The sequence below is a fragment of the Homo sapiens genome, chromosome 9 (genome assembly GCF_000001405.40).
Source record: "Homo sapiens chromosome 9, GRCh38.p14 Primary Assembly".
In the NCBI taxonomy this organism is placed as follows: Eukaryota; Metazoa; Chordata; class Mammalia; order Primates; family Hominidae; genus Homo; species Homo sapiens.
The window spans coordinates 73,238,556-73,266,452 of record NC_000009.12 but is presented as its reverse complement, the minus strand read 5'-3'; the positions used below and the strand labels follow the sequence as shown (position 1 = coordinate 73,266,452).

The window sequence follows — 27,897 nt, the reverse complement described above, 5'->3', positions numbered from 1 at the left end:
TAAAGCTCCAAAATGTTCCATATGCCACCTCCTGGATACACTGGGTTGGAAGTTGGCCCACCAAGGCCTCAGGTAGCTTCACCTCTATGGCTTTGCTGAGTGCAGCTCGCGTGGCTGTTCGCTGGTTAGAGTCCAGTGCCTGTAGCTTTCTCAGGTAGGCATTGCATGTTTCTCGTGCTGTAACCATTCTGGGGTCCAGAGGGTGGGAACCCCACTCCCACAGCTCCATTAGGCACTCCAGTGACTATTCTCTGTGGCAGCTCCGCCTCTGAGGCAGGTTTCTGCCTGGGCTCCCAGGCAGTTTTGTACATCCTTTGATAAAGGTTGCCATGCCTCCATGACTCTTGCATTATATAGGCCTGATGAATCAGCACCATGTGGATGTGGACACTCCACAGGCCTACCACCTGCATCCTCTGAAGGAGCAACTCAAGCCACACCTGCGGCTCCTTGAGCTATGGCTGAAGTGACCAGAGTACCAAAATGCAGGAGTCACGTTCCCAAGGCAACTCTAAACAGTGAGCTGGTGGAGATTACCGCAAGCCTGTCTCTGGAAACCATTCTACCCTCTGAGGCCTGTGGGCCTTTTTCACTACGTCCTGATGCACACAGCACTGACTCTCTTTTGTTCATGCTCTCTTTTGTTCTCTTTATCAAGGGGTCCTTGGGCAGCGACACCCTTAGCACTCTCTCCCAAATACAGCTTTTTGCTGTTTACGTAGTCAGGCTGCAATTTTTCCAAAATTTTCCACTCTGCTTCCCTTTAATTATAAATTCTGTCTTTAAATTATTCTTTTGCTCTCAAATCTCAGCACAAGTGGCCAAAAGTAACTATGCAACTCCTTCTATATTTTGCTGAGAAATTTATTCTGCCAAAAATCCTAGTTCATCACTCTTAAGTCCTGCCTTCCATAAAGCCCTAGAGCACGGACACAATGCAACCAAGTTTTTTGTACATGTATAACAAGTGTACTTTTGCACAACAACTTCCCAATAAGCTACTCCTCATTTTTTATCTGAGTCCTCATCAGCATGGCCTTTAGTCACCAAATTTCTATGTGCATTTGGTCATGACTATGTAATCAATCTCTAAAAAGTTCCAAACTTTCCCTAGTCTTCTCATCTCCTGCGCCCTCACCATAATGCTCTTCACAAGGTGGCAGGAAGGGGAAATGCCCAGGAAAGGGGGGAAGAGCCCCTTATAAAACCTTTGATGCTCTGTGCACAGCAGTACAGGCCTTTTCTGACCTGTTCCTCCAAGTTCTTCAAGCCACTACCCATTACCCAGTTCCAAAGCCACTTTCACATTTCCAGCTATCTGTATAGCAACACCTCATACCTCAGTACCAGTTTTCCATCTTAGTTTGTTTAGTGTTGTGATAACGGAACACCTAAGTCTGAGTAATTTATTTAAAAAAAAATGTATTCGATTTCTGATTCTGGGAGCTGGAAAGCCAAAGATCGGGCAGCGCATCTGGTGAGGGTCTTGTCCTTCAATTCATGGTGGAAAGCAGAAGGGCAAGTGGGCACATGCAAAGAGACACATACAAGAGGTTGGACTTGCTTGTAACAACCCACTCTACTGGAAACCAATCCATTCCTGCATGAGTGAGAGCTTACTCACTCCCACGAAAGAGCATTAATTAATTCATAAGGGATTTTCCCCCATGACCCAAACACCTCCCACTAGGTTCTATCTCCAACACTGCCATACTGGGATTCAAATTTCAACCTGAATTTCAGAGGAGACACACTCAAACCACAGCAGATGATAGATAGATAGATAGATAGATAGATAGATAGATAGATAGATAGATAGATAGGATGGATAGACAGACAGACAGACAGACAGACAGACAGACAGACAGACAGATAGATAGATAGACAAAAATGCAAAAATTCTTTAAAGTGAATAGTAGGTATTTTGTAATCAAAACTTTTCTGGGCCATTTTCAAAACACATCCTCTTGCTTCCTGCCAAATCACTCAGAGCTTCTTCCCACTACTTTCCTCATCACCCACAGGAACTCCAAATTCTTCTTTGCCTTTTTGCAGAAAAAATATGGCAATTACTCCAAACTCAGCAGAGTCTATCTTTACAAATTGTTCCTTATCATAGATTCTCAAAAGAATAAAAGAGCCTTTATTTTACAATGAACCACTAGCTTTATAAGGCAGCCATGGTTTTAGATAGCAATATTTATTTTTGTCAATTATATATAAAGTGTTCACCACAGTGTGTAACATTCACTAATTTCTTAGTAAGTGGTAGACATAAATTGATAATAATTTAGCAAGATAATCAAATTATGTAAGAATTATTATGATGATAATAGTAACATATACCTAATCAAATGGACATAAAATTTATATTGTACATTATGTCATAGGCTTATTATTTTAATTTTATTCACCACACAACTAATTCATTTAGCTTAAATAGTGTTTTTAATGACTTAGGATATTAATATAGCACTTTAGTTATGCAGTTAAACATCTTCATTCCAAAAGTGATACATAAACTGAGAGTGATTACTTGCTAGACACAGTACAATAATAGCCCTTCAAAATTATCGATAGGATAAACATTTTCATGTTGATAAATAAATGCAATTACTGAAATAATTATCTACCTATCTACTAACTATCCATCTATATAATGTAGAGGAGAACTAAAAAGGTATATAAAGTTTATATTTTACTTAAAAAACAAAGTAAACATTAGGAAGACACATTGTTTCTCATCTCTACTGTTTTTTATTTAAACCCTTGATAACATCTTTATTTTCTTCCTGTCTTATCTTTTAACATTTATATTGTACAAACTTAATTCATGGTTTGGCATCCAAGTTCAAGGTCAGGTCTACTTTTGATGTATTATTTATCATTCCACATATGTTGTTTATTCCATTTTCTTAACGACTATAACCCTATTTTATGATGAAATTTGGTACTCAATCAAAAAAATTGTTCTATATACTTTAATTGTTTTGTTATAACTAGTAAGTAAACTCTGAGTATTTTACTTTTTTGGTATCTACCTCTACAGTACATGTGTTGTTTAGCCTTGTGACTGATAGCTAAACAGTACTAAATGCATAATTGTGTATGTATTTTATATACAAAATTAAAAAAATAATAACAGCTTTTAAAAATATCAATTTAGAGAACAGAAGAGAGCTTTTTTTCCCAATATATCCCACAATATTTGGAGAAGGCATCTGCTAAAGCACAGGATTGGCCTGCAATAAATTCTTAATGCCTGTTTATTGATTTTGATTGATATTTAGAGTCTGTCACAGCAGCCAGACATCTCCATGATGTTCTGCCTATATAACCTCAGAGGGTCACTTTGCTGAATGCCTGAAGAAGTTATTCCCAGGACACAGCACTCCAGATAAAATCTTTAGTATGTTAGCATCACTTTTAAAATTTCAAATCATGAAAGTAAAATAAGTTTAAAAAAACATAAACAAATAAGCTTAATAATTCACCTCCACAACACGCTACTTTTTAATTTGGGAAAACATTTATTTTGCACGGTGTTTCAGTTAAATGAGTGGATGAGAGAGAGAAAAATTGGATGCATTTTAGCTTGTAGCTTACATTTAAGAAAATCCTTAGACAATAATCTATTTAGGTAATAGATTAGTCAATAATCTAGTAGGTATTGCATACTATATGTAATGTGGTAAATACTTGACTATTCACATTAATGGAAATGATTAAAGGCAGACCATTAGAATCAGTTTACTTTGGTTTGGAGTGTATGTTGATTCATGTGTTCAAGTTTCTCAACCTCAGCACTATTGACATTTGGACTAGATATTCTTCCTTGTGGGAGGCTGTCTGTTACATGGTAGGATGTTTAGCAGCATCCCTGGTGTCTACCCACTAAATGCCAGTAGCATATACCTTAGATGTGACAACGAAAAAGGCTTCCAAACGTTGCCCAGTATTTCCTAGAAGGGATTTGGGGAACAGATCACCTCTGGCTGAGAACCACTGATATATATGAATATAACTTTGTTTTGTTTTATAATTTAAATATTTACATTTCCCTTCAAAGGATAAAGTCATTCTGAAGACCTGACTGACACAAGTTGACTATTTTTCATACCTTACTAATGTAACCCAAATAAAACTGGATTGTTTAGATGGTTACAAATTAAACAAACAAATTCCATTTCCCACAAACCTTGTAAAGAATCGTAAACATTTACTGAAGGGGTTTAAAGGACACTAATTAAAGTTTCCTGAAAGGCTTTTAGGATGAATAATGATGTTAATAAGGTAGATTTTGAGATATTTGTCTCTTGATTGGCTGAGTTCTATTTAGAAATTCTGAAGAACCATGTTGTTCTCTCTACATACTGAAAGTTAGCCTCTCCCGGCTTCAAGATCCTAACACAGTTGCATAATGCGAGTATAACTCCAAAATGGTTATAGGTTCTAGCTACGGGAAAGACTAAAATTATTAGCCATTGCAAGCTTAATAAAGTAAATGTACTTGAAATTTGTTCTTACGAGAAGACACCGTTCTGCATCAAGTCATTTACTCTACATATCTCCCAGTTACAATTCCATCTAAATGCATTCAACATGCTGTTTTCTACAACTTAAAAATGGTAACCCACCAATATTTTTAAAATAAAGGCCCAATTGTTAATTTAATATGCCTTCTGAGCTTTAATATCTTTCTAATTGAACAATTTAAGGTTTGGGCTCTCATTGTAATTCTTTATATGAAGTGCAAGGAGATTTTAGACCTCACTCTTGAAGTATTGATTATTATTGAACTCTTTTTAATCTCATTGAAAAAACTGCTCTTTTCAGGACTCTTCAGAGCTTTGATTAACTTTACATCTGCCTTTGATTCTATGGATATGTTTTTTAAGCTCTGTGAGTTTAAGATAAGTCTCCAATTATTAATATGCTTGCAAAATCTACATCCACGGTATCATTGCCAGAATCAAGCAAGACAGCAATTTAAATGCATAAGAATAAAATGAGTTTTGGACCTTCTTTTTATTTTTATCTAGATATTTTTATATTCTTTTTAAAGAAATTGGATCCTTGCCTACTTGCAACAGTAAAGAGGAAAATAATTACCCTTCTCTATAAGGGTCATCTGGATCAAGATAGACCTTAGAAGAATTATAAAGTCAATAGTTCCTATGAAGAAGAGGCCATTAACATTAATTGTGATGGCATAGGTACCTATTATTTTAGTAGGGCTAAATAATTCTCTAATATATAAGTGGCTAATATTAACTAATTCCATGCATCAGGGCACTTTGTTCTGTTTTTGTCAATAATATTTTGAATTTTGTCAATAACATAAACATATCAAGAGGTCACTGTCTTTTAAATTACACAACCTATAAGACTATTATACAGTTTTTATTAATGATTCTGGTGGAAAACTGGCATCATTTGTTCTGATATTTCTTTATAATATAATAAGTCATGCCATTTGCTTATTTTGTTTCCAAAACAGTAGTGTTAATTTTAATCAATAGTATTGAATATTATTAGTATTAGCAATTACAGCAATTAGTATTTACTGAGCCATTGCTATTTGCCAGACACATTTCTGTGTTCAGCTTGTTTAGATTCAAAGCAATCTTTTCAGATGAGTATTATCTGGGTATTATCAACCCCAGAGATGAACAAAGACAACAGAAGGTTTAAGTACAAAACTGCCCAAGATCATACATACAGCTGATAAGTGGCAGAACTATGATTGCAAACTCAGACAGCTGACTACCAAATCACTGCACTTACTCATCACCACATTATGCTGTCTGAGCTTGAGGCTCTCACCAACAAATATAAAATTCAATCATATAATAGCTAATATTTATAAAAAACTGAGTTTAGGGAAGTAAATGTAAATGCTACCTATCCACTCTCTTCTGCCTAAACTAAGTTGTTTCTTTGAGTCAAATCAGAACAGCAAAAGGCCTCATTTTATTGGTTTGTTTGTTTGTTTGTTTTTTGAGACAGTGTCTCACTCTGTTGCCCAGGCTAGAGTGCAGTGGCTCTATTTCAGCTCACTGCAACCTCCGCCTCCTGGGTTCAAGCAATTCTCCTACCTCAGTCTCCCATGTAGCTGGGATTATAGGTGTGTGCCACCACGCTCAGCTAGTTTTTGTGTTTTTAGTAGAGACGGGGTTTCTTCATGTTGGCCAGGCTGATCTTGAACTCCTGATCTCCGGTGATCTGCCCGCCTTGGCCTCCGAAAGTGCTGAGATTACAGGCGTGAGCCACCATACCCAGCCCGTTTTATTATATTTTTAAGAGGGACTATCTCAAGAACATCAGATTTGATTCATCATAATTCTTGTTCATCACCGACTATCATCATTAGGCATGGCTCATTTATTCTGAGTTACTAAGTTGATTACTGTTTATAATGTGGTGAGGACCCAAAAATCAACTACTCACTAGGCCCTTGATAAAAACACATATGTAATTTTTAAAAGCTAAAATGTAATAAGACCTAACTTTTATTAATGTTTTTTCCACTTTCATTGTTAAAGATTTTTTAAAATTCAGGTATACATTATTTACAGTAAAATGCATAACTTGAGTTTAATAAGTTTGGAAATATGCACATAGCTGTGAAATCCATGTGATCAAAGCACAGGGTATTTGAACAAGTCTCTGTCTCTTACCCAGTCAATTCTATTCTCCACCACAGAAACTACTTACATGATTTCTATCACAATTGCTTAACTTTGATTATATCTAAAACTTCACAAACACCTACTCTTTATATATAGCTTATACATATAAATATTACATGTATAATGCTAAATATATGTAGCAATAAATATTATTGTATGAGGTTTTTGTGGACAAAATCATGAATAGTTAACTACCTATGTAATTGTTCATGGTTAACCCGTTATGAAAGAGCCACAGGTTTGGTTACACCACATACTCCACAATGTTTCTGTATTAGTCCATTTTCACACTGCTATAAAGAGCTACCTGAAACTGGATAATTTATGAAGAAAATAAGTTTAATTGGCTCACAGTTCTGCAGGCTTAACAGGAAGCATGACTGGGACGCCTCAGGAAACTTACAATCACGGTAGAAGGTGAGGAGAAGCAAGTACGTCTCACCGCGGCGGAGCAGGAAAGAGAGAGAGAGAGAGAAGCGGGAAGTGCCACACCTTTAACCTTTAACCTTTAAACCATCAGATCTCGTGAGAACTTACTCACTATCACGAGAATACCAGGGGGGAATCCTCCCCCATGATTCAATCACCTCCCACTAAGCCCCTCCTCCAATTCAACACGAGATTTGGGCAAGGACGCAAATCCAAACCGTATCAGTCTGGTATTGCCAATCTTTTAAATTGTAACCAGCCTGTTAGATGTAGAGTGGTATCTAACTGTGGTTTAAATTTGCATTTCTCTGATCATTAATAATGTCAACCATTTTTATGAGCTTACTGACCATATGTACCTCTATTTTCTGAAGTATGGATTCAAGTATTTTCCATTCTTTTAATTAAATTTTTGTCTTGAGATAATTGTAGATGTAATTGGAAGAAAGAATACAGAAATCCGGCCGGGTGCAGTGGCTCACGCCTGTAATCCCAGCACTTTGGGAGGCCGAGGCGGGCGTATCATGAGGTCAGGAGATCCAGACCATCCTAGCTAACACGGTGAAACCCCGTCTCTACCAAAAAATACAAAAAAAAAAATTAGCCGGGTGTGGCGGCGGGGCGCCTGTAGTCCCAGCTACTCGGAAGACTGAGGCAGGAGAATGGCGTGAACCCGGCAGGCGGAGCTTGCAGTGAGCAGAGTTTGCGCCACTGCACTCCAGCTTGGGCGACAGAGCGAGACTCCGTCTCAAAAAAAAAAAAAAAAAAAAAAAAAGAATACAGAAATCCCATGTATCCGCTACCCAGTTTCCCCCAGTGGAAAACTATGGCACGTCTTGCAAAACTGTGGCACAATATCACAATCAAGATATTGATGTGGATACAGTCAAGATACCAAGAATTTCCATCACTACAAAGGTTTGTGACATTTCCCATTATGGCCACATCCACTTCTTTTTCTCCCCAACGTCCTCCTTAAACCCTGTAGGCCACTAATCGCCTCTTCATTACTGTACTTCTGTTATTTCAAGAATGTTGTACAAATAGGATCACACAACATGCAACCTTTTGTTTTTGACTTCTTCAATTAGCATAATTTTCTGGAGATTCGTCCATATGGTTGTATGGACGGAATGTATCAATAGTACATTCCTTTATATTGCTGAGTAGTATTTCATGGTATGAAGGCACTATAGTTAATTTAATCATTCATCTATTATGGACATTTGAGTTGTTCCTACTATATGAGCTACCACAAATAACGCTGTTATAAATACTCACACAAAGTTTTTGGTGTGAGTATGTGTTCATTTTTCTGGGATAAATGCCCAGGAGTGGTATTGCTGGGTTACATGGTACTTTCATGTTTAGATTTTTTTTTTAAAAACTGCCAAACAGTTTTTTTGAGTGAGAATACCATTTACATTTCTACCACCAATATAGAAGTGATCCAGTTCCTTTGCCTTCTCTCCAGCATTTGTTGTCACTGTTCATAATTTTAGCCATGTTGATAGGTATTTAGTGATATCTCATTATGGTTTTAATTGACATTTCCTTAATAACTAGTGATGTTGACCATCTTTTCACATATTTGTTTGCCATCTGTATGCACTCCTATTTGAAATGTCCCTTTATATCTGTTACCCACATTCTAATTGGATTCTTTGCTTTTTAATTGTGAGTTTTGAGTGTTCTTTGTGTATTCTAGACACTAGTCCTTTGCAAATATTTTCTCCCATTCTATAGCTTGTCTTTCTATTATATTAACTGGGTCTTTTACAGATCAAAATCATTCAAATTTGATATAGTTAAACTTAGCAAGTTTTTAAGTGAATCCTACTTTTAGTGTCAAATCTATAAATTATTTGGCCCCAAATTGTAAAAATTTTCCTCTGTTGTTTTTTCCCCTTAAGAGTTCTATGGTTTAAATTTTACATTTTAGTAGTGGCCTATTTAGCTAATTTTTGCATAAGATATAATAGTTAGGTCCAGGTTTATAATTTTATTTTTGCCTGTAGATATTCAATTGCTCCAGTACTAGCTGTTGAAAAGGCTATATTTCCTGTACTGAACTGCTTTTGCAACTTAGTCAAAAATCATACAGATGTTGTATATATATGTGTGGGTCTATTTTGGATTCTTTACTGTGTTCTATTGAACTATGTGTGTATCCCTCCAGCAATACCACAAAATTTTGATTACTGTAGATACATAATTTTGATATATTTTTTCAATTTATTCTTCTTTTTCAAAATTGTTTTTAGCTATTCTAGTTTCATATAAATTTTAAGATAGTTCTGTCTATATTTACAAAATTATCTCCCTGAAATTTTGATAAGTATTTTAAACCTGTACATCAAATTAGGAAATATTGACAGCTTTATTACATTAAGTCTTCCAATCCGTGAACATGATTTATCTATTCATTTACTTATCTCTTTGATTTCTTCCATCATCACTGTGTTATTTTCAGCAGACTAGCACTATAGATGTTTGGTTAGATTTACTCCTAAGTATTTTTTTCAGTAATTATAAATGGAATTGTAGTATTAATGTTGGTGCCTACGTGGTTATGGCCAGTATATATACATATAATTGATTAATGTATGTTTATCTCGTGTCCTGCAAACTCGATGAATTCATGTATTAGATCTGAAAGATCTTTTATAGACTTCCTTGGAATTTTCTATGTAGACAAATATGTCATCTGCAAATAGAGACAGTTGTACTTACTTCTTTTCTGTATTTACTTCTCTTGCCTGTTTAAAACTTTCACCTTGATGTTAAATAAGAGTGGTGAGAGCAGACATGCTTGTCTTGCTCTGGTCATAGGAGAAATGCATTTGATTTTTCACTATCAAGTATAATATTAGCTGTGGGTTTTCTGTATATGTTCTTTATCAAGTTGAGGAATTTTAACTCTATTCCAATTTTTCTGTGCATTTTTATAACATGGGTATTGAATTTTGTCAAGTGCTATTAGTACATTGATTGATGTGATAATAAGATTGTTCTTGAGCCTCTTATTGAATCAGCTTTATATTCCTTTAACAACCCCACTTGGTCATATTATATAATCTTTTTATATGTTGTTGAAATCTATTTACTAATATTTTGTTAGGAATTTTATGTTTATATTCAGGAAGGATATCTGCCTGTAATTTTATTTCATACTGTATTTGCTTAGTTTTAGAATCAGACTAATAATGGCTGTATTAGTCCATTCTCATGCTACTAACAAAGACATACCCGAGATTGGATAATTTATAAAGGAAAGAGGTTTAATGAACTAGCAGTTCCATGTGGCGGGGGAGGCCTCACAATCATGGCAGAAAATGAAGGAAGAGTAAAGAGCTTTGTCTTACATGGTGGGAGGCAAGAGACATTTGCAGGGGTACTCCCCTTTATAAAACCATCAGATCTTGTGAGACTTTTTCACTATCACAAGAACAGGAAAACCTGCCCCCACAATTCAATTACCTCCCTCCAGGTCCCTCCCATGACACATGAGGATTATTATAATTCAAGGTGAGATTTGGGTGTGGACACAGAGGCAAACCATATCATTCTGCTCCCAGCCGCTCCCAAATCTCATGTCCTCACATTTCAAAACCAATCATGCCTTCCAACAGTCCCCCAAAGTCTCAACTCGTTCCAGCATTAACCCAAAAGTCCAAGTCTCATCTGAGACAAGGCAAGTCCCTTCCACCTATGAGACTGTAAAATCAAAAGCAAGTTAATTACTTCCTAGATAGAATGGAGGTTAAGGCATTGGGTAAATACACCCATTCCAAATGGGAGAAATTGGCCAAAACAAAGGGGCTACAGGCCCCGTGCAAGTCCATAATCCAGGAGGGCAGTCAAACCTTAAAGCTCCAAAATGATCTTCTTTGACTCCATGTCTCACATCCAGGTCACACTGATGCAAGAGGTGGGTTCCCATGGTCTTGGGCAGCTATGCCTCTGTGGCTTTGCAGGGTGCAGCCCCCTTCCTGAATGCTTTCACAGGCTGGCATTGAGTGTCTGTGGCTTTTCTAGGCACACAGTGCAAGCTGTCTGTGGCTTTACCATTCTGGGATCTGGAGGATGGTGGTCCTCTTCTCACAGCTCCACTAGGCAGTGCCCCAGTGGGGACTCTGTGTAGAGGCTGGCACCCAACAGTTCCCTTCTGTACTTCCCAAACAGAGGTTCTCCATGAGGGCTCTGCCCTTGCAGCACCCCTCTGCCTGGACATGCAGGCATTTCAATACATCCTTTGAAATCCAGGCAGAGGTTCTCAAACTTCAATTGTTGACTTCTCTGATTTGCAGGCCCAACACCATGTGTAAGTCACCAAAGCATGGAGCTTGCAACTTCTGAAGCAATGGCCTGAGCTCTATGTTGGCCCCTTTTAGCCACAGATGGGGTGCAGGTCAACAAGTCTCAAGACTGCACAAAGCAGCAAGGCTCTGTGCCCAACCCAAAAAACCATTGTTTCCTCCTAGGCTTCCAGACCTGTGATAGGAGGGGCTGCCATGAACACCTCTGATATGCCCTGGAGACATTTTCCCCATTGTCTTGGCAATTGGCATTTAGCTCCTCAATACTTATGCAAATTTCTGCAGCTGGCTTGAATTTCTCCTCAGAAAATGGGGTTTTCCTTTCTTTCTCGTCTTCAGCCTGCAAATTTTCTGAATGTTTATGCTCTGCTTTCCTTTTAAACATAAGTTCCAATTCCAAACCATATCTTTGGGAATACATAAAACTGAATGCTTTTAACAGTACACAAGTCACATCTTGAGTGTTTCATTGCTTAGAAATTTCTTCCACCAGATGCTCTAAATTATCTCTCTCAAGTTCAAAGTTCCACAAATCTCTAGGGCAGGGGCAAAGTGATACCAGTCTCTTTGCTAAAGCATAACAAGAGTTACCTTTGCTCCAGTTCTCAACAAGTTCCTCATCTCCATCTGAGACCACCTCAGCTTGGAATTTACTGTTCACGTCACTCAACATTTTGGTCAAAGCCATTCAACAAGTCTCCAGAAAGTTCCAAACTTTCCTTCATCTTCCTGTCTTCTGAGCACTCCACGTCTCTAGGAAGTTCCAAATCTACTCACAGTTTTCTATCTTCTTCTGAGCCCTCTAAACTGTTCCAACTTCTGCCTGTTACCCAGTTCCACATTTTCAGGTATCTTTATAGCAACTCCCCACTACCCAGTACCAATTTACTGTATTAGTCCATCCTCATGCTATTAATAAAGGCATACCTGAGACTGGGTGCTTTATAAAGGAAAGAGGTATAATAAACTCACAATTCCACATGGCTCAGGAGGCCTCACAATCATGGCAAAAGATGAAGGAAGAGCAAAAAGATGTCTTACATGGCAGCTGACCTGAGACATGTGCACGGGGATTCTCCTTTATAAAACCATCAGATTTCATGAAACTTATACTGTATCACAAGAACAGCATGGGAAAAACCCACATCCATAACTTAATTACCTCCCACTGGGTCCACACCATGACACATGGGCATTATTGCAATACAAAGTGAGATTTGGGGCCAGGCGTGGTGGCTCATGCCTGTTGTCCCAGCATTTTGGGAGGCCAGGGTGGGCGGATCACGAGGTCAAGAAATCGAGACCATCCTGGCCCACATGGTGAAACCCCATCTTTACTAAAAATACAAAAATTAGCCAGTCGTGGTGGTGGGCACCTGTAGTCCCAGCTACTTGGGAGGTTGAGGCAGGAGAATCGCTTGAACTGGGGAGGTGGAGGTTGCAGTGAGACGAGATTGCACCACTGCACACCAGCCTGGCGACATTGTGAGACTCCAGCTCAAAAAAAAAAAAAAAGTGAGATTTGTGTGTGAACACAGAGCCAAACCACATCAATAGCTTCATAAAATAGATAAGTAAGTGTTCACTCTTCTTTTTTTCTGAAAGATATTGTGTATAATTGATGTTGTTTTAAAAAAATTTGACAGAATTCTCCAATGTAACCCTGTGGGTTTGGAGGTTTCTTTTTGAAAATTATTAATGACAAATTTTGACAATTTTACTGATCTTTTCAAAGAACTAATTCTGTGTTTCATTGATTTTTTCTATTCTGTTTTCCATTTTATTGATTTCTGTTGTTTATTGTTGTCTTCATTCTGCTTACTTTGGGATAATTTTTTTTTCCCTTCCAGGTTCTTGAGGTAGGAGCTTAGGTTATTGGTTTCAAACTTTTCCTCTTTTCCCATGTATGCATTTAGGGCTATAATTTCGCCTTTTAGCACAGTTTTAGCTGTATCTCACAAATTTTGTTATATTGTATTTTCATTTTCATTCAATTCAATGAATTTTTAAAATTCTCTTGACTTTTGTTTGACCCCATGCATTATTTATAAATGTGTTCCCAAGTGTTTGGAAACTTTTCTGTAATTTTCCTGTTTTTGATTTGTATTTTAATTCCATTGTATCAGAGAATATATTCTGTATAAATTCAATTGTTCTAAAGTTGTTGGGGTTGGTTTTATGACCCAGAGTATGGTTTATGTTGGTATAGTTATGATTTGAAAATAATGTGTAGTTGGCTGGGTGCGGTGGCTCATGCTTGTAATCCCAGCACTTCGGGAGGCCAAGGCGGTTGGATCACCTGAGGTCAGGAGTTCAAGACCAGCCTGGCCAAAATGGTGAAACCTTGTCTCTACTAAAAATACAAAAATTAGCCAGGGGTGGTGGCAGGTGCCTGTAATCCCAGCTACTCGGGAGACTAAGGTAGGAGAATCGCTTGAACCCGGGAAGTGGAGGTTGCGATGAGCTGAGATCATACCACTGCACTCTAGTCAGGGCAACAGAGTGACAGTCCATCTCAAAAAAAAAAAAAAGAAAAGAAAAGAAAATACAGTGTTCCATAAATGTCAATTAGATTTTATTGGTGGAGCCCTTCTATATCTTTGTTGAAATTCTCTTTACTTATTCCATGAATTGCTGAGAGAGTAGTGTTCATGTCTGTAACTATATCTATGTATGTGTCTATTTATCCTTTCAGTTTGATCAATTTTTGCTTCACCTATTTTGCTGATCTGTCTTTGGTGTACATACATTTAGAATTTCTGTCTTTTTGATGGATTTAAACTTTTCTTGTTATTAATCTCCTTCTCTATCTTTAATAATTTTATTTTCTCCGAAGTCTACTTCATATAATATCAATATAGTCACTCTCTCTTTCCTTTTATTAAAATTTTTGTAAGATATATTTTCAATCCTTTTACTTTCAACAGCTTATATTGTTGTATTTCAAGTTAATTTCTTATGGGCAACATTTAGTTAGGTTGTATTTGTAAATACCCTCTGTTAATCTCTGTCTTTTGATTGCTATGTTTATACCATTTAAATTTAATATAATTACTGATACCTTAGAGTTAAATCAGCTATTTTATTTTTGTTTTCTGTTTGTTCTCTCTGCTTTTCATTTATGTCTTCTTTTTCCTCCCTTTCTGTGGAAACCCACAACACATATAAAACATATAAATCATCATATAAAACATTTTTTACAATTTCCCTTTTCTTTATCTATAGTGTTTTGACTGTGTCTCTTTGTATAGCTGTCTTAGTGGTTGCACTAGTTATTATGTTGTTACATATCTGTAACTTACCACAGTCTACTCGTGTTCTCATTTTACCAGTCCTAGTGAAGTATAGAAAGATTACTTCCCTTTACATCTCTTTATTCTCCCCCATTTATAATTGTCTTAGATATTTCTTCTACAAATATTTAGAACAACATTGGTGTTTTAATTTTTGCTTCAACCATCAAGCATAATTTAGAACACTCAAGAGAAGAGCCTATTGTATTTACCCATATTTTTTGTTTACTGTATTGGTCTTTCTTCCTGATGTCACAAGCTTTATTCTTTTGTTATTTCCTATACTTTTAGAAATTTTATTTAGCCATTCCTGTAGGGTAAATCTCCTGGCAACATATTTTCTTATGTTTCCTTCATCTAGGAATGTGTTGATTTCTCCTTCATTTCTGAAGGATATTTTCTCAAGATATAGAATCTCAATTTTTATTTTTTATGTTGGGATGCCTGTGTTTATATTATTGAGTTTTAAGAGTTCTTTTTATATGCTGGTTACACATCCTCTGTCAGGTATAAGTATATCAAATATTTTCTCATAATCTATGACTTGCTTTTTAAAACAGTCTTACTGGTGATTTTTTGAAGAACAAAGTATTTTGCTTTTGATAAAGTGCTTTTTTTTTATTATTTGGGCTTTCTGTTCAAGGCTAATATATTATTACCACTCTAAGCCCATGAAGATTTTTTTCTCGAATATTTTAAACTTTCCTTTAGGTTTAGATATCATATACCTCATGTATATGAGATGTTTTTTTTAGTGTATGAGTCAAATTGAGGTTGAGGTTCTATATTTTCTTTATTCCTATCTACTTGATTCATCACCATTTGCTAAAGTTGTTTCCCTTTTTCTGTTGAATTGTTTTAGAGCCCATGACAAAAAATAATTTGACTTTGTATGTGTGAGTCTATATCAGGATCCACAATTGTTTTCAATTGATCTATTCATCTATCATATTGCTAGTGTCATACTCTTGATTTCCATAGCTGTATAGTATGTATGGCAGTCAGGTAGGGTAAGTCCTCCAACTGTTCTAAGACATTTTCATTTTGATATATATTTGAACACAGCAAATTGCCTTTTTTTAAAGCCAAATATAATTTTGGTTAGGATTGTGTTGAATATAAAGATAGATTTGTGGCGAATTTACATTTTAATAACTTTAACAATACTGAGCCTTATAATCCATAAATATAGCATCTCTTTTATTTTCTTTCCAATTGCTTATTGTTGTTGGTTAGAAATACAATTTATCTTTGTATATTTTCTTTGCATCCTGTGACATTGCAAAGTTCACTTTTTTATTCTTTATGACTTTTTTTTTACAAAAAACAATAGAAAACAATTTTAATTATGCACATATACATGGAGTCCCACAAAGACATGAGCTCCCTCCTTATAACTTTCTAGGCATATGTTATATTATCTTCAAATAGAGATTTTATTATTTATTCTTTTCTAAATGTATGCCTTTTTTTTTTTTTTTTTACTTACTACATTAAGAGCTCCAGTACAATGTTGACTAGAAGTGGTAGAAATGCACATCTTTATCTTTTCCTTATTTTGGGATATAATGCTCATTCCTTCTTCATGAGTAAAATATATTTAATGTTGATTTCTCACAGACTTTATTTGCCTAGAAGAAAAAAGTTCTCTTTTGTCCCCAGTTTGTGGAGCGTTTTTATTATGAACAGGTGCTGAATTTTTAAGTGCTTTTCCAGAATCTACTTAATTAAATATAATTTTTCTTCTTTAATGTGTTAATGTGTGAGTTCCACTGTGATTTCCATATAATAAACCAACTTGCCATTCCTGGGATTGCCACTGCCACATGGTCAGGATTATTTAACATCTCTAGATATTGCCAAATCCAATTTGACAATGTTTGGTTATGGGCTTTTGTGTCTATGCTCACAATGAATATTAGTCTTTAATTTTCTTTGCATATAATATCCTTTCCTAGATTTGGTGTCAGAGTTATATTGGCCTCATGAAATGACTTGGAAAGTATCTTCATTCCACTATTCCATGAAAGAGTTTGTGTGATATTGGCAATTTTAGTTTATTAAATGTTTGATAAAATTTCTGATGAGCTACTTTGGATATGAATATTTTTATGGGAATTTATTTAATTACAAATTCTATTTAATCAATAGATGTAAGGCTACTTAAAATTTCTATGTTTGTGGTGAAAGAACATACTGTTTATGATGGTCCCCCATTTATTTCATTAAAAGGTAATTTATGTTCCTTGAAATTTACAATTTTAAGTGTAAAATTTTGGAATTTGACAAACTTCTGTAGTCATATAAACACCATCAAAATCAAGATACAGAGCAAGGGTCATCAAACTATGACTGTGGGCCAAATATTGTCTAAGGGCTGTTTTTGTATGGTCACTCAGCTAAGAATTTTTTTATTTTAATAAAGGGTTGTGAAATAAAAACAAATAAACAAAAGCAAGCAAGAGTATGTAATACAAACTTATATGGCCCTAAAAATATTTATTATCATGTCCGTTACAAGGAAATGTCAGCTGCCACTATAAATTTTTAGCCTTGTGATTGCTTTGAAGCTCAAGAAATGAATTTTTAAATGCTACATATATGCTATAGTTTAAGAGTCAAAATTCATTTGTTCTACATCGTTCTTGTGAGGAGTAAAAAGAATAACTGCCTCCTGGGCTTATAAAGTGTTTCCCAGGAAAGCAGGAAGTTAGGATGGAGAGTTTTTGGTTTTTCAGTCAACTAAGATGGGATTAAATCATTTACTGAGTATGTTTCTTTAGACAAATTGTTTTACCTCTCTGTGCCTTATCTTCTTTGTCAGTATAATAGAAACAAAAATTCCAAACTAAATAGGTTGTTTTGAGATTTAGATGAGATAATATATACAAAGATGTACCTCAATGAAACCTATTTGTCAGATGTTTGCAATTCCCTCTCTACTTCATCACAACTACTAAACAAGGAGTTTACACACACACAGACACACACACACACACACACACATCGTTTTGTAAAAAGGGAGCTGGTGGTTTGAGTTTTTTGTTAGTTTGCTTGTTGAGATGTTTGTTTGCTTTGTTGCCCAGGCCTAGTGCAGTGGTGCCATCTCATTGCAACCTCCTCCTCCTGGGCTCGAGTAATCCTCCCACCTCAGCCTCTAGAGTAGCTGGATCTACAGGCACATGCCACCACACCCGGCAAATTTTTTGTGTCTTCTCTAGAGATGGGGTTTCACCATGTTGCCCAGGCTGGTCTCAAACTCCTGGGCTCAAGGGATCTGCCCACCTCGGCCTCCCAAAGTGCTGGGATTACAGGTGTGAGCCTGCCACCACACCGAGCCTGCTGGTTTTAATGCACAGCTCTACCCTGTGAAACTGGAAATGTATGGCTTTGTGCCAAATTTTCTAATTTGCACAAAAAATATATGTTTAGCTTTTCAGAAACTCTGTCAGGATTCATTAGCTTTCTGCAGAAAAATAGACCTTTGGAGACTAAAAGAAAAGAAAAATAAAGTTTTATGAGACAATCTATTAGTCAAGGTATTGGAGAAAACAGAGAAGATTTTGGAATTATCTTTAGCTGTCATTTACATTTTCCTGAGCCTTAAATCTGAGTTTCTCTAATAATCATAAGCCCGATATATTTTGTTTTAAAAATAAAACAAGAAAAAACTCAAATTATACCAAATCTGTGCTCACAGCCAGGATATATCCTTTTGGACTATAGTCTGTTTTAACTCACTGATGCAGAATGTTTTGGCACAGGAAATATTTAATCTAAAAAGTAGGGCCTTTCACAAGAACGCCTCTTGTAAACAGGGAGACCAACTGGGCATTAATGTGAATATTGTTGTTGGCAAGATCTTTTGACCTGATGGATAGAGGTGACATATACATTCTGTGTCTTTCAGCAGGAACACCCCTTGGAGCAATAACACCCAAATACCTGAAATGTGAAGATGACAAGCATGAGTATCCTCTCCTTTTGTGCCTGAATTTCCTGCTTTAATCAGAAAAAAATACTTTTAAAAAGTGCAGGCAATGGTGAGGTTAATTTCTTGTTTAAAATATTTTAATTATCACACTGCAATGATGGAAATAAATCTGTTCACTCTAGCAAGTATATAACATTATCACAAAAAGCCAAAGGAAAAGGAAATGCGTAAGAGAGAAAGGGGATGAGAGAGAAGCAGGACACAAAAATTACAGTGCAGGGAACAAGAGCAAAACGAAAAAATACCACACTAGCAGTTAAACTGACCCCAGAGGTAGATATTCACATTCACTCTGAGTTAACTGTTTTCTGTCTTCAGAGTTCACAGTGCAAGATCATGCTAAAAGACTAACCAAGAAGGAGTGGAGGGAAGATTTGAAGTCCAGGTGACTTGAGACCAAGTTCTGATTGGAGAACTTAGGTGTCCGTAGCCAAGTTATTTAAACTTTTCTGCTCCTCAGTTCCAACTTTCTCAAAATGAGTAGATAACGATTACTGTATCTCACCTGAATATTATGAAAAGTCTGTACGATAAAATATGATGATGGTTATACAATGATAATGTAAACTTCTTAATAATACAAATGTTAGTAACTGTTATTTACATGTATTCAATAGTCAACTTTGGAGTAATCACCCTATTGATTCAGCACACACTGAATTCCACAACAAAGCAAATTATTTACACTCTGCATGCCCTAATTTTTAAATAAAATATTGTGGGTTTTTGTATTATTACAACTTTTCACAATAAAATTTCTGCTTCACATAATTTATTGATCAAAGTTCTAACTCACCTGCAATTCAGCATATTCTTCTATCCCTTGCTAACTCCTAGAGTTTGACATATTTTACAGGATTAATTCTTCTCATAGGAATACTACAAAAGAGCTACCTAATAAGATGTTTTAAAAATTCTAATTTGAAGCTAAATAGATAAAGTTTTAAGAATATCAGCTTTGTGAATTTTCTTATGGGTTTAAAAGTATAATTTCATGCCAAAGTTTGGTCAATGGAACAATTTTTCTTTCTCTCACACAATTTTTCCTCCTCTCCCCCAATCCACCAAAGACCTGAATTTCAAGTATTTTTTTCCCATTGACTTGCTGGCAGAAATGAACACAGAAATCAGTAAATTATTAAGTGAAGTTGCAGAAAACATCTTGCTCTTTTGGTATAGCATATCAAAGAAAAAAATCTGGGATCCTGAATTTCATGCAGCAGAAGGCAACGTTGTCTTTGTAAACTATAGTTGTGTGTAGGTGTATTTGATAGAGTTGTTTGGTTATAATTTCATAAAATAGAGAACAGCACTTGGACTATACCTCTAAGGTTAATCTCAAAACCTCACCAGTTCTTTCAGGGTTCTCAAGCAAGAAAAACATCCCTTTGCCCATGTTGCTTCCACACCATGCAGCTAATCTTTGATGACACAGAGTAACATTTTACCAATCTCAATAACACCTGGTAAGTGACTCCTGTTGATAGTAACACTGTGTTTTAATGAACAAATAAATGCATATCTACCCTTCTTGGCAAGAATCTCCAGCTATTGAGGCAAAGCACCAGCTCTCCCTATGTTACTTGGGCTAATTGACTCTTTGGATGAAGTTAAATCACACTTATCCCCAGTGGGATGTATGTTTGCCAGTAATCAATAGCTCAACAAGATCCACAAGGCAGGTAATTAAGTGGAAAGTAATTAATACCCATCAAAGGTTTTATTAACTGTTTGCCATTCCTTCACTCAAAAGTCCTACTGTACTGTAAATAAAGAAGAAAGAGCCAAAAGGAGAAGGCATGTGGGAACTAGCTTTGTTTTGTAGGAAGCCGAATAATTACAACTCTTTTTCCCTTGGGTTAATCCCATTTTGAGGATTAGAACTACTCTTCAAGTTATCATTTTATTGGTTCATTCTCTTTATTCCATTTTTGCAAGCACTCAAGTAAAAACAGAATCTCAAATAAGTGCACTATTATAGAAAAACTGTCTTATTCTGATATTATGAGAAATGAGGACAAAATAAGATGCCGCAAGTATTAAGGACTTGTGTGTTGAAGGAATGAAGGTTAAGATTTGGAAAAAGGAATTCCACTTAAAAGAAAAGAGAAAGTGATTGTCTTGGTGAATGGAATGCTCTAGATGTCTTTATTTTTTGTGTGACTATCTTAGATTCTTCAGTGCATATTCATTATTAGAAAATATTTTATTTTAATTTTTATTGAAAATTAATTTTGCTTCAGAAATCTCACTTATGTCAAGAAGGATTTCACATTGTAAGCTATCCTCTTTTTACATCTGCCTCTTGTTCCAACATCATTTGGAGTACACATTCAGAGGACAAGAGCCTTGTTCTAGTGCTTTTTCTTCTTGTTCATCTTTTTAACTGGGAAATGAATAGAGTCTGTTCCCAAAGCTGCCCTAACTATAGGTAGAGCTCTTGAGTAAGGTGGGAAAATGTCATCAGAAGGACAATAAGAGGACACAAAACACAATTAAACCACAGGGGAGGCAGTACTTCATTTACTTGGAAATTGCTCACTTATTGTTCTGGTAAGATTTGTAATCTTAAGGCATGGATTATTATATTTTTAAGCTCATTCAGTTTTAGTTTAAAAAATGCAATGGTATATGTTAATGATAGGGATGTGGAGAAGTGATTGTTCCTAATTAGATCTTTGTTACCAAACCTCTCTAATATCACAGGAGCATTCCTTTCTTGAACTTATTGAGCCCCCAGACAATTTTTCTTGGAAGTAATAAAGTCACGTGTTAAGGATTACAAAGGCTACTGAACATGTGAATACTTGGCAAAGTATTACCCATGTATTTTACTCAATTAAAGCAATTCTATGCTTATAGAATTTTTGTAATATCAAACTAAAAAATTATTTTAAATATGACACTGTTCTAATTGTGAATCTGAGAACACAATGGAAATGGACACAATTTTTCTTGACGGAAAAATAAGAATGTCTGTCTGTGTAAAGTTGCCGTAGAAAGACAGCTAAACCTGCAGATGCTTTGAATACTATCTAGTTGTTCTATGCGTTCATTTTATGCTCAGAAAAATATGTGCTATTAAACTTAATGTTATTTCTATTACTATTATCCAAATGTTCTTATATACATGAATAAATTGATTGATCTATGTCTAAATTATATGTAAATGAGTAATATGATCATGTTACTTGTTGTTTTATAAGGCAGAGATTTTTCCTTTTTTGCTTGATCTCTGCTCTTGAACCCCCATAGTACTCACCTATTATCTTAGTGTATATACACGTATATATACAATTACACATGAATACACGTTATACATACAAATTCATATAGACATATGTACAATGCAGAACTCAGAGTTCTGTGATCTCACAAAGCAATGGTGTGTGAAACACCCCAGAACCCTTTTGTAACCTCAAAGAGCCATCTTACCTGCCCCCTCCCATATTATGAAAAAAGACCCACTTTTTTTTCTAAGTCCTTTTTTTCTAAGACCCACTTTTTTTTTTCTAAGACCCACTTTTTTTTTCTAAGTCCTTCCTCAGGACTTAGAAATCTCTCTTTCACCTTTTATGACTTTATTGTTTTTCTTTTTATAAAACTAGTACTCCCTTTTTTTCTGTTCTTTTTTTGTTATTTTTTCAAGATGTCCTTCATTAATGAACATTCTCCCTATTGCAATAGCCTGAATAATAAAATCAAAATTGTGCAATGCATTTTGCTGTTCACAATATACATTCCACACATACACATACATCCACACACATAGAAACACATTTTTTATTTTATAAAAAATGAAGTCATATTACACATCTCTATCGCAACAGTACTTCATGCAAATTCTCTCAATAAAGCTTATTTGTAATAGCTGTAAAATTCTATGGTTTGAGTATACCATAATGTATCTTCCTATTGATGGGCACTCATTTTGCTTTCAAGTTTTGCTACCATAAACAATGTATAAATATATAACCTTTTATGTCTAAAAGAGGATATTAGATTACTTAAAAACTGTAACACTTCACATTTCCAATATTTAAGAGGACCCCTTTTTTATCATCCCCCCAAAAAAGGTGTTAATTTTACCAGTCTGATGAGTATCTACATTAACATTTACTATTCCACTGTCTTTTTAAAGAGAACGTGATTATTTCAAGGGACTCTTGCTCAGGAAGATAAAAGTTACAAATGACTTTACTTTTTATTCTGAGAACTTTCTAATTCATCAGCTTTTCAGTAGAAATCATCACATGCCAGTTTACACCCCAAGGCTCTTTGAAGATCTTGCCTCAAAACACCTTGCTTTAGCCAATACTCCAAAACCTTTATTTCATTATTTTTCTCCAGCCCTAATGAAGTCCCTGCATTGACAGACCTGTCTGAAGCCAGACTTCAAAACCTCAGCAATATCCTGACTGAGGTCTCCTCTCTCTGAGACATTAGTAGGCTCTGTGAAGCGAGTGCTGCCCTCTTACCGCATGGCTCTGTCCTGTTTACTGGTTGTGCAAGTATAATTTGGGAAGCCAGAATTCACAGGAGAAACTTCAAACCTTCTACCTATGGGAAATTAAGGTAAACTATTTTGCACATGAAGGGACAGATGAATTCTGTCTAAAGGACAAAATTTAAATGACTTTGCCCTACATCAGTTAAATAATGCATGGTATAAGTGAGTAAAGGAAAACGTTTTAAAATTTCAGCTTTTGTCACTAATATGTTTCAATCTTTCCATATACAGAGATAAGCATTGTATTAGAGTAGAGTATATGGTCCATTCTCTAGCTATAAGTTTATTAACTCTGATATTGTAAGCAAAAGAGCTGAAATGTTTTTAATTGGACACACATCTTATAGCTTCGCAGGTGCCGTCTGTACTCTACAGCAGGGGAAAATAAGTTTAGGGGATTTCCTTATCATTGGAATACAAAAAGAAATATCACAGGAAAAATGGAAGAGATTCTACAGGTTTCTTTTTATGTATTTTCTCTTTTACTTTTCACCCAAAACACCCAAGAAGGAGCTGTGATTACAATCACTGCATGAATGGAAAAAACTGAAGCTCTGGGAATCTAAGTAACTGGCTGCCGCTCCCACAGCGAAGGAGTAACAGAACTAGAATTAGGAGCTAGACCTAACTGCTTCTCTAGAGTTTGTCATTGTCCACTAAACTCTGTGCACTCCAGCCGAGAAATCTGATACCTTTGTTAGGACCATAAAACTCTGTCAAACAGACACTTTAAGGGAGAAAATATTAGTGTTATTGATGGTTAAAAAGCCTCTGCTTTAATTCCAGAACCAGAATTTCTGTAAGAAGTCGGAGATAAAATACAGGCATGTGAGGCCTGGAGGATTTCACTCAGAGGAAAATTGCTCCCTTTTTTACCTTCTGCATTTCCATAGAGGAAGGCTGTGAACTGGTCAGTTGTAGACTGGCCAAGAACCTCAAGTTGTGCTGGATCTGCATGTAAATTTGCTTTTAGCAGCATGAAACTCAAGCAATTTGACAAATGAATAGGAAACCCAACCACAGGGAAAAGGAAGTTCAGCCGAACGGTTGAAAGAACCGTTCTTAAAGGCTTCAAGAAACTTTAAGAGTGTGAGCCCAGTCTATGGAATTTTTAAACATCTTTAAGACAATTAGATACTAACTGAACGTGCCAATTTCTGTTAATATTACAGGAAACATATTGGTAGGATGCTAGGTCACTACTGAAAACGTAACGTTATCCTAAAAATAATTTAGATTCTGGATCAACTGATTCATGTGCCATAACCATGACAACATTGTTCCAGCTGCTGTTTTTTCGCACGCATAGTACTCTGCCTCCATAATTTATTCTTTTCATAAATCTTCCAGGGGTGGCATTAGTAACCCCACATTTCAGATAAGAAAACCGAGGGTTGGAAAGATGAAGAAATTTCCCCAAGCTCACAGAGCTGGTAAGTGACAGAACCTAGATTGAAATTGAGGCCTCTAACCATTAAGCTAAAGTCTAAAAAGAAATAAATTTTATTGTATGAATTTCGACAGTTTTAAGTATTGCAAGTAAATCCGATGACCAATATCCCAACATCAGAATTCTGATAGGTAGGAGATAAAAAGATACCTACTACCCTGGACTAATTGCAAGCAATTATAAGTACAAAGGGCATATTCCACTAAGCTACCGGTGTTACACTCTACATGATGTTAAAACAGGAACGTGATTCCTAACACACCCCAGCGTGGGTGCCACTCTATAATTACACTGTTAGCAGCTCTGTAATGAGTACTTTCTTTTTACTCCTCCAATCAATACAAATGCCTATCAACGTAAAATAGCCACGCAGCTTTCTACAGTCTAAAGAGTAAAAAGCAATCCAGGATGACAGAGTATCTATAATATATTTAAGCATATTGCTTCTTTTTAAAAATGCATTACTGGTATTATTTCGCATGTATTGAGGATGGTAAGCATGTGGGAATAATTAGAACAATGACCACCTCAGATGGAAAACATAGATGCCTGGCTGTACTGATAATAAAAGGTGCTGTCGGAGGCAAATCACACCCCATTACGACACAAATAGGAAACATTATTAATGCTTAATTCTGACTGTGTCAAGAATCACTCTGCTTTCGTTCATTGCTGATAACATCATTGCCTTGACCTTATTGCAAAATTAATGGTAGGCATTATATTATGTTATATTCATCATAGCATATTGAAAATTTGTGTGTGTGTATTTGTAGCCTTTGCAATTTTTCTCTTTGTACTAACATATCGCTTAGTTGTAACTTTGTTCAATGCTCTTTTAAAAATGCAAAGCCTCAGAGCAAAACCAGAGAAAAACTCTTTTCGCAACATTCAAAACTATTTAAGACCAGCTTAATTTAAATTGCCATGACCTGTAATGACTCTTGTGAGCTGGGTCCTCATTTGGTTTCTTGTTTTTTAACTGTATATACTTTGTGATACATAGCTAAAGACAATACTATAGGAAGTAAGGATTTTTTGTAACTCATTTAACCTCTTTTTACTAAAAATTGATGGTAATTTTTAAGTAGTGTAACTAGAAACCTTTATCTGAATCTTCCCTGGCAACTGTTTTGGGTCCTTCTCTTCTGGCCTTACACCATCTCTCTATGCCTGGATATATGGCTCCTGCTGCAAGACCCTTATTCAGTCTTAGTTCATGCTTGACAAGTTCCTGGAAGGACAGTCTTTTGATGTTGAGTCTTCTTTTGTTAATGTTAGGAATGCCTATGTAATGATGACCTGTATTCATTGTAGTGACTTGTGGTTTTTGGTTTTTTTTTTTTTTTGGTTGGTTGGTTGGTTTCTCCTTTGGCATATGAAAGGGGTCATATTATCTTTGGATGCAACAAAACTCTTCCTGTTTGAACAAAACAAAATAAAAATTGATCTTCTATTATAGCTGTGCCTTCTGGGTTACACCATGAATGTTCTTCATTCAATAGACACTTGGTGTATTGCTTAATGTGTTATGGGTAATTATGTGTGAACATGTAAATGATACATTTAATTCAGTTCAGCAAATAAACATTGAGTATTTAGTACAAGCCATGCCTATGTAAGCTGCCAATAATCCACAACATCAACACAACCCATAAACGGATCCACCAAGGACTCATATCCATGATGACTCATACTATAGAAGAATCCTGGAAAAGGTAATGATGCAATGTAAGAGCGCACAAGGATCCTCCCACCCATCTTCTGAGAGAAGAGAGATCAGCACTTTGCTCTTCTGACAATAATTTTACCTCTCCAAGCATTACATTTTCACACTCAGGATAGAGAATAAACAAAATCTAATCAACCTTCTTATCTCTACTGAGCTATCTTCCCTATTGAGTAACATGATACTTCATGGCTCTCTACCAAAAGGTACTATATAAATATTTTCAGCTAATGCTAAAAAGAAGAGTTATGAGTGGCTGGTAAAGAGCCTCAGGGCTGAGCCTTCTCTGAGGACAGAGTGAAGTGAAGAAACAGTGCCTTCCATTTTGCCTCAGTATTTGTTCAACTGCCTAAACTCTCAGCAATGATAGAATAAAAAATATATGAGTATAGATGGGAAGGAAAAAAGACTATATCAAGGACTACCTACATCTTTTAGGCCAGTGACATACACTATAAGCTATAATCTTGCCAGTTCCTTCTTTCCGTCATCAACTCACCAAAATTTAGTATCCACTCCAAAAACTCATGAAAATAATAGGAATTCATTATGATTTTCCATCTCAATGACAGATCAATTCCTAAATTCATAGAGACAATAAAATTGTTACACTTTACTATAACTTGCATTTTGCAACTTGACTATAGTTTTCTTTTCTGGCCCTATAGTATACATTGTTTCTTCAAAATTGGTCAAATTTTTTATGTGCAGGATTATGCACATGTAGGCTAACTTGCTACTTTTTTAAAAAGTTTTGCTTTAAACCTGAAATGCCTTCCTCCACATCTCTCCAAATCAGGAATCACAGATACTTGATATATATGCTGATTATCTGCCTTCCCCAACTATGTTAGACATTACTAATTAATTATTGCATGCATTTTTATTGAGTCTCAGAATTCTCAACACATCTCCACTCCAGCACCACAATCAATCAGCGTTGGCCTAGGAAATTAAAGCATCTTTGCTATCCCTGACCTAGATCATCACAGAAACTATATTTTGAGGTTCATTCATTACATTCTTGTCTGAGTTATATATCCATTTGCTTGTTACGTCTGTGTGAAATAGTGCTTTTCTGACTTGGTTTGACATTTTGGTGTGTTACTTTTAAATATTTTATTCAGTCTTTAACCAAATTATTAATCAAATGTATCTCAGTATTAATAACTGTCCATTGATTTGTCCTCACTGATTTCAGAATATGTCTAATATTCCTCTGCCATTGGGATATGAAGAATTAGTCATTTCCACTTTCATTGTGAAAAAGGGTATGGGCCCTGAAGTCAGGCAGCCTGTATTATCCAGCCTTGCTTTAGTTTCCTTATCTGAAAATGTGGATAACTTGAGCATCAATCTCTTAGAGCTGCTGTAAGGATCCAATGAGTTAATGCATTCCAACCACTTAGAACAGTGCCTACCATATTGTATGTGTCCAATATATGTTAGCAACTAGTCGTACTTGTAATACTGGTCGTTAT

General features: G+C 35.8%; 2 long non-coding RNA genes across 4 annotated transcripts in view; one reads left to right on the top strand and one right to left on the bottom strand.

Moving 5' to 3' along the window:
* Nucleotides 1-7,162, bottom strand: part of LOC101927281 (uncharacterized) — a 107,092-nt gene extending 99,930 nt beyond the window's left edge. Inside the window, exon 1 of the long non-coding RNA XR_001746723.2 lies at nt 7,096-7,162. This is a non-coding gene — a long non-coding RNA (uncharacterized LOC101927281). The remainder of the gene's footprint in view (nt 1-7,095) is intronic.
* A 155-nt stretch (nt 7,163-7,317) lies between these two features.
* Nucleotides 7,318-26,054, top strand: LOC105376082 (uncharacterized). Of its 3 annotated transcripts, none has more exons than XR_929931.2 (5): nt 7,318-7,351; nt 18,644-18,776; nt 20,081-20,193; nt 23,078-23,302; nt 24,024-26,054. It is a non-coding gene; the product is annotated as an uncharacterized LOC105376082 (long non-coding RNA). The 3 variants fall into 3 exon arrangements; XR_929930.2 differs by lacking the exon at nt 7,318-7,351 and adding an exon at nt 7,908-8,039 and having other exon boundaries at nt 24,588-26,054; XR_929929.2 differs by lacking the exon at nt 7,318-7,351 and adding an exon at nt 7,908-8,039.
* Nucleotides 26,055-27,897: the final 1,843 nt, after the last annotated feature.